This window comes from Homo sapiens, chromosome 2 (assembly GCF_000001405.40).
Source record: "Homo sapiens chromosome 2, GRCh38.p14 Primary Assembly".
NCBI classification, from domain to species: Eukaryota; Metazoa; Chordata; class Mammalia; order Primates; family Hominidae; genus Homo; species Homo sapiens.
In genome coordinates, this window is record NC_000002.12 from 87521589 (window position 1) to 87529359 (window position 7771).

Sequence of the window (7771 nt, forward strand, 5' to 3'; positions counted from 1 at the left end):
ACGTCCACACAGCTCATCTGACATGTTTAAATGTGTGTTGGGCTTGACTCTCTCATAACTCAGCCACGCTTGCCTTGCTGCTTCTCATACCTCTCCAGATTGCTGTAGAGTCAGTGTGGGCAGACTGACATTTGAGAGAAACGTCGGGCTTCATCTGGAAGCCTCTTTCCACACCCACCCTGATCGTGGCCTGTAAACTGTGGCCCCAAGATCTCCATTAACCTTGGGCTTTCCACTAGAGACATCTGCCATCTCTGCTGCCTCCCTCCCCTCACACATCCTTTACTGCTTCACTTATTCATCCCATAAGGATTTCTTAGGGGCCTGCTGTGTGCTGGTTCTGGAGACAAAACAGTGGATGGGACCAACTCAGCCCCGGTCCCCACCCAGCACCTCTAGCCAAGTCTGAGTGGGCTCTGCTGAAGAAGTGTTGGGTGCAGTGCACAGTTCATCATGGTCGATGGCTCCATCCCATTTCACTTAGATGCCCCGATTTCCTAAATGCTTTCTTGAACTCTGACACTCTGGGACTGGCACCTGAACAGTCTATAAAACGGTGAAATGTCGAAGCATTCCTGCTGTGTAATCCCACTCTCTTCCCCAACCTCAAGCAGGACAATTTGACCCCCTCCTGAGGACATGGCCAGACAGGCCATTAGTAGAAGCCTTCCAGAACTTTCTGGCAATCTTCACTTTTAAGCTTAGCAAACATCTAAGAATAATTTTAAATGGCCATGTTTACTCTTTTGTACTTGTTGGAATTAGTTTACCAATAGGCCATGATGGTGATCACAAAACCCCCTATGTACATGCACAGTGTTCATTGCAATGCATATCCAGGTCTCAACCCAATGTCCCTTTCTCAAGGAGAATTCCCTGAGCACCATGTCGTGAGAGAACCCTCCTTCCTCCCCACCATTTCTCTCTATCTTGTGATTTTATTTTATTTTATTCATAGACTTATCATTATCAGCACTTATCCTGAATGTTCAATTATCATCTGTCTGTCTCTCACTCCACTCCCAAAAGGCAGACTGTGGTCTGTCTTATTTCCCGGTCTGTCCCCAGCGTTTGAGATCCGAGCCTCATCAACAACTATGTGCTGACTGGGTTCATCCTCTTATTACTTCTCAGGCACACCGAGATGCTGAGCAGCCCAGTGCTCTGACCATGTTTGGTGGATAAGGAAACTGATCTGAGTCTGGTGAATGGCCTCACTAGGGTGAGGACCCAGGCTTTCCTCTGGGACATCACCCAGCAGAAAAGGGTGATTGTGAACTCTCTACTGTCTGGACAGTCAGGTTCTCATCAGAAACCAAGCTTTGCCCTGCTGATGAACTTCCTAAAGTTTATGTAATTTGCCCCCATCCTGGAAGATAAAGACCACTGTGTTGTGGAGGGAAATAGCCTCAGCTGGGCGTCTCTGGATGCTACTTTCTCCAGCAGAACACTAAGAAGATCAGATGAGATGAACACAAAGATTCCACCCTGCCCTGAGTTTCTGCTGGTTCTACCTGGCTAGGTTCTAGCAGAAGAGAAGGAAGTATACAAGGGTAACATGTGCAAGGGCCGTGTACAAGGGTAACATGGGCATCAGGGACAGTCCTCCTGAGGATGTGAGGAGCCAGGCCCAACTGTGGGCTGGCAACCTGCCCCAGGGGTTGCTCACACTCACCTAACTCCGGCCCCTCTGGACACACCCCTTGCCCAGGTGCAAGGGGCTCCACTGGGAAGAACATCTCCACCCAAGTGATCACTCTTCCTCTGCGTTTTTGAGCAGGATGAAACCACATTCTCTACCCATTTCGCAGTCTTACCCCCAGGATTATTTATGACCTCAAAAAGATGGAAGTCACAGGTGCAGGGAGGACCAGACGTAACCCATATGATGCCTGCAGGATAGTTAGTTCACAAGGATATTAGGAGAAAGAGCAAAAGAGAAGTGACCACACAATTCTAGATGGTTAAGGCAATAGTTCTGACCCTGGCCAGACATTAGAATTACCCAGAGGTTATAAAAAATCCAGACACCCAGGATCCACTTGGACCAATCACATCAGAATCTGGGGATTGAGGGGGTGTAGACATCAGTATTTTTTACAACTCTGCAGGTAATTTCAATGCATAGCCAAGACTGAGAAACATTGGTCTCTCAACGTACCATCCAATGTGGTAGCTGTTAGCCACAGATATCTATGGAACCTTTAAAATGTGGCTTGTACAACCAAGGGACTGAATTTTTAAATTCCTTTTTATTTTAAATTTAAATATCCACATGTGACTTGTGGCTGCCATATTGGACTGTGCAGGTACAGAACATGTCTACGGTCACAGGAAGTTCTACTGGCTAGTGTGGTCCAGGGGAACCTGGAGTCCTATAACTGCCGAGTGAAATCCTGCTGATCCTGAAGGGACTTTAAGGTAATTCTGTCTGTTAACTTCACTAACAAGCCCTCCTGTCTTGGGTTTGCTGTATATTTTTCATCTATGTTTCAAGCCAGGGCTTGTGCAGCAGCAAGGGTGACAAACTTTCAAAGCACTGCACTGTAGGATTGAAAAGCATTGAAAATACAGTTATGCACTCACTAATGTCTCAGTCAACAATGGACTGCATATACAATAGTGGTCCCATAAGATTATAATGGAGCTGAAAAATTCCTATCACCTAGTGATGTTGCAACTGTCATAATGTTGTAGCACAATGCATTATCTTTTCTGTGTGAAGACATGTTTAGATGCACATATTCTTACCGTTGTGTTACAATTGCCTACAGTATTTAGTGCACTGAAATGCCGTACAAGTGTGTAGCCTAGAAGCAATAGGCCATACCATATAGCCTAGGCAGGTAGTAGGCTATGCCATCTAGGATTGTGTAAGTATACCCTGTGATATTCGCATCACAAAGAAATTGCCTAACGATGCATTTCTCAGACTGTATCCCTCTCATTAGCAATGCATGATTGTATCTGTAAAAATCTAAGGCCCAGACCTCAGTCTTTTGGTGTTCATTCTGCTGGTTTACTCAGTTTGCATCGTTGAAGACCCAGTCCTAGAAAGGAGCTTTCTAAATTATTGTTTAATTAGTGTAATCCAAGAATTTATGAGACTTTTGGAAAAGCAGAGCGCTAGAAGTGCCACCTTTCGGAGGTCACGGATTTAGTCAGGTGACCCAGCAAACTCCACTCGTTGGGGTTAGAGATGGAGAATTAGAACCAAAGCTGAATCACTTTCTGCTTATCACTCATAGACTGCCAGATTTTCTTTTTTTTGTTGGAGGGAAAGCACCTTACAACAAATAATAATACTATTTTGAATTTCAGAGCTTTCCCTTTTTCAAAGCACTTTACCACCTATGACTTATTTTGTCCTCCTAACAAGGCCATAAGATAAGGAAGGGAGGGCTTTTTAGAGCCTGTCTAACACCCTAAGACAGAGCTTAATATTGCTGAAGGCATTGAAAAGTATAGGTTTTGTTCTCTCATCCCTGGCCACACTCAAGTACTTAGTGGCACAACTTGAAGCAAATTGACATAGATGTTTAATCCTACAGTGGACTGTGTTTTTAATAGACACTAGAGCTTCACATTTGTTCCCTTTGGTTCCATCCCAGGTTTCTAACCTTGTGCCTAAATTTTTGGGGGCCCTTTCTTCCTCAGAGCTTTGTGTGATCTGCAAATTTGGTAAATATGCCTTCATTTACCATGTCTCTTTCCAAGGTGGGTTTCACCATGTTGGCCAGGATGGTCTTGATCTCTTGACCTCGTGATCCACCCGCCTCAGCCTCCCAAAGTGCTAGGATTATAGGCGTGAGCCACCGCACCCAACCTCCAAGGTGTTTTTTAAATGGTGAATGGGACAGAACGCAGGACAGAGTCCCATGGCTCTCCATGAAGAAAGTCCTGTGTCACTTCAAAGGATGTCCCCTGTGCAGAACCAACCACGCTAGGCTGACATCCTCACTTTTGGGTCCCCAACCTTCTCATGGGTAGAGCTGCAGAGAGTCATTTCAAACCACACTTGCCTGTGGGCAGAAAGCACGGAATTGTCTGTCCAACTAGGGACTCAGGAGCAGCCTGGCTGTCTGCAGCAGCTGCAAAGGGAGCAAAGGCAAGCAGGACTTCCATGAGCTAGGAGGTGGCCTTCTTTGGAGATGAGTGTCCTGCCAATTGCAAGTCCTCCTGGTCACACCATCATCTGGCCCATCTTTTGTATCTTAGATCGGATAGGGTGAGAGGTTTTCAAAGGCTTTACTGAAATCAAGACACACTTTCTGGGGCATTCCCCTAATCGACTGTTCTGGTGAAGCTCGTCAAAACAGGAAATGAGGTTAGCATGGAGTGACTTTCTCTTAGAGAACTTATGTTGCTTCCTTGAGACCACCAATTTCTTCCCAAAAGCTTGTGAGCCTTATTTCGTGTCTCTTTTGGGTTTTCTTGGAACTTGGAGGAAGTCTGTTCTTCTGTAGTTTTTAGAATCCATTCCTCTGGAAAATGGTGGTGGTGTTTGCTTATTCCCAGCTTTCCAGACTCTCTCCCTTTTTCTCCAGTATCTCTAAGATGTTTGCAAGTTTGTCTGAAGTGAGATCTGCACATACTTGAACTACAGCAAGAATGGGATTGACCCACATGCTCTGTGCCCACGACCAGGCTGACAGGGCCGCATGTGGGCTCTCTGGCATGGGCTTTAGGCAGCTCCTTCCCCTGAGAAGCTGTTGGATCCACATGTTCTCACGGTATCAAAAATGGCAGGAAGAGAAAACTAACCTGGTGGAGATGAAACTTAGTGGGAACACTCCGCTTTCCTCCCCTGCTCCGTGTGTGAGCACTTGGCTCAGAAATGCACTGTGGCTGAGACAGCCCTATCTGGCTTCACCTAAGCCTACCCCCGTGTTGAGTTCTTTAACTTAGTTATCAAAGCGGCAAGGGTTTCAGATCTAGACAAGCTGCATCATGCTTATTTTTGCTGAGGTTTTCTGACAAATGGCTCTACTTGAAATTTCCAGATTTAAATGTCTGTTTTATTAAAACTAAAGTACTTTTGAGTCATATTTGCTTTTATGTAGTAGAAGCAAGTAGAAGAGAGTCCATGGGAAGGAATAGCTGGCTTTGCCTCACAGGTGTTTAGGGAGGACTGCTGTCTCCAATGCAAGACCTGGATTACCGTTTAGAGATCCACCTACCCCTCATGATGCTCTTGTTGCTGGAATCATGGTCTGTTTCATGCTTTACGTGACTTAGCAGGACCTTGAAAGCTGTCCTGAGTGCCCATGCTGGAATGGGGTAGATTTCAGTTCCCTCTCCCTCACTCCCGCATGAACCTCAGCCTCACTCTACTCAGGTCTAGGGTACTTAGTGTGTTCAGTGATGATTGTCTACATAGATGGATTAATACATATGCACCTTTATAATCATCCCAGCTACCATCTAAGGTTCTAGCTTTCTCTGGAGACATTTTTGGTGGTTTACAATGTTATTTTCCAGTGCGCATAGCAGGCCCCAGAGGCAAGGTGATCACCCCTTTGTTTCAGTTAAGAAAACTGAGTTTTAGTGAGGACAATCAATTTTTCCCATATCACAAAACTGGTCATGTGATGCTGCATCCCATATTTAAGTCCAGAGCAGTGAGCTTCTCCCTATCCCTCTATTATGCTGCCATTTTGTATTTTGTAGGTGTGTAAAATCAAATGTCATTCTTCCTTAAAAAGGACTGTGAATGGTAAGCAACAGTTGGGAAGGGTGACACCAGACAATGGCTGAAAACAGGGCGACTGGAAGTTGACTGATGGGTGCTGAGCACTTGGCATCCCTTCCTGCTGCAGACCCCACTGGAATCTCCTCAGAAGGGGACACTGGTGGCTTCCATTGGCCCTGCCTCCCGCCAGGGCTGTGTGAGGATCCACATGGGCTGGGATGAGGGTGGATGTTGTTCTCTGAAAACTGTCCACTACTCAAAAGTGATGTTGTGGCCGGGCACGGTGGCTCACAACTATAATCCCAGCACTTTGGGAGGCTGAGGCCGGTGGATCACGAGGTCAGGAGTTCAAGACCAGCCTGGCCAACATGGTGAAACCCTGTCTCTACTAAAGATACAAAAAATTAGCCAGGCGTGGTGGTGTGTGCCTGTAATCCCAGCTACTTGGGAGGCTAAGGCAGGAGAATCACTTGAACCCAGGAGGTGGAGGTTGCAGTGAGCCGAGATTATGCCATTGCACTCCAGCCTGGGTGACAGGGGAGACTCCATCTCAAAAAAATTTAAATAAATAAATAAATAAATAGATGTTGCTGGGTCAAAAAGGGAGAGGCCCCACCCTGGCCCCCTAGCACCAGAATCTGCATTTCAGCAAGATCCCAGGGGGCTGTCACAGTTGCTAGCTCTGCTCTTTATGCTTGCCTCAGCTAGGTGCTGAGTACCTGCTAGAGGTGTGAATTCGGTCTTTATTCTTCAGAGGCACTGGTCAGAGGGTGGAAACATCAGACAGGGACTCCTGGGCCCCCAGGCAGGACTCCATGGGGATGGAGCGGGGGATGGAACATTTGAGAATCACCAACATGCAGCAAGGACATTAGTGAGAAATGAGTTCCACCTGCCAGAAGGGAAGCTGAGAAGGGAATGCACAAATCAGGAAAATATACCATCAAAAACTACGACTCTTCTACCTCCAGCCCTCGCCACCAATTCCTATCCCATTATTTTATATCCGAGAGGGTTGATAGGCAGCAGACACACTGATTCTGTAAGCATTGTCCCTAGTCCCTGTAGGCGAGGTGACCATGTACCCAAGTTCACTCAAGGTGGTCCTGTCCATGCCTATTAGAAATGAGTTCATAATTCCTTTCAGCTCCGCCTTTCACTCTCGAGCGTGCCCTTGCTTGACGATTCCTATCTGGCTTGGATACCCTCACTTATATTACCTTATATCTGCTATTATATTTCCCCAAGAAGTTGCTTTACAAACACTGACTCCTCAACACACGGTCATCTCTAAAAGAAAGGGTGTTTGGCAGTTCCTCGACAGTTCTGGAAAGGCTGCCTTACTAGAAGCAGAGTCAGCCATGGGGGGGTGAGAACGAAAGTGTGCACTCAAGCATGTGTGTTTGGGGTGTGTGGGTATGGGTGTGAGACATGGTCTTATGGGTTCTGTGTACCTGCATGTGTGACACAGGTGTGGGTGCAGAAGAGGACACGGGGTGTCTGGTGCATGGGTGCCTGTATGCACGTGGGGTGGTTGCGTGCATCTGTGAGTGCACATCTATGGTATGTGTGTATGCTTGTGCATACATGCCTGTGTGTTTGCATGTGTGGTGTGGTATGGTGTGCGGGAATGCATGGGCGGATATAAGTGTGGGTGTCTTAGTGGATGTGTGCATGGATGTAGTATGTGATGTGGCTGGATGTGGGTATGACGTGTGCAGTATGAGAGTAGGGTTCTGTAGCACGTGTGTGTATGCAGTATGTATGTTTGTGGTACATGTGCATTGTGTGTGGCTGGGGGTGGGTTGCATATGTTGCATATGGAGTGAGGTGTTTGTGATGTGTGTGGGTGTGTGCGGTGGGTATATGCTGGTACCTGTGTGCATGTGTGTTGGTGTGTGGAGTGGCTATAGGTGACATGTGATGCCATGTGTGCTTCCTGAGCTTGTTTGTGGTTGTTCCCAGACCCACTGCAGACTCAAGCATGGCTCCACATGGCACCACCACAGGATAAGCCTCTGTGTGTATGCAGTATGTATGTTTGTGGTATGTCTGTGCCTTGGGAGCTGGTGGGGAGGA

At 46.8% G+C, this 7771-nt stretch overlaps 1 long non-coding RNA gene across 1 annotated transcript in view, besides 1 other annotated feature; it reads left to right on the plus strand.

Moving 5' to 3' along the window:
• NCAL1 (NK cell activity associated lncRNA 1) overlaps window positions 1–7771 on the plus strand; it is a 282375-nt gene that overhangs the window by 66110 nt on the left and 208494 nt on the right. The gene's annotated exons all lie outside the window — the stretch shown is intronic.
• Window positions 5438–5939: an enhancer, noted in NCBI's record as "H3K4me1 hESC enhancer chr2:87826545-87827046 (GRCh37/hg19 assembly coordinates)". NCBI's record gives its function as "activates a minimal SCP1, AML or CMV promoter by ChIP-STARR-seq in primed H9 embryonic stem cells {active_cell/tissue: H9 hESC(primed)}" and the evidence as "EXISTENCE:reporter gene assay evidence [ECO:0000049][PMID:30033119]".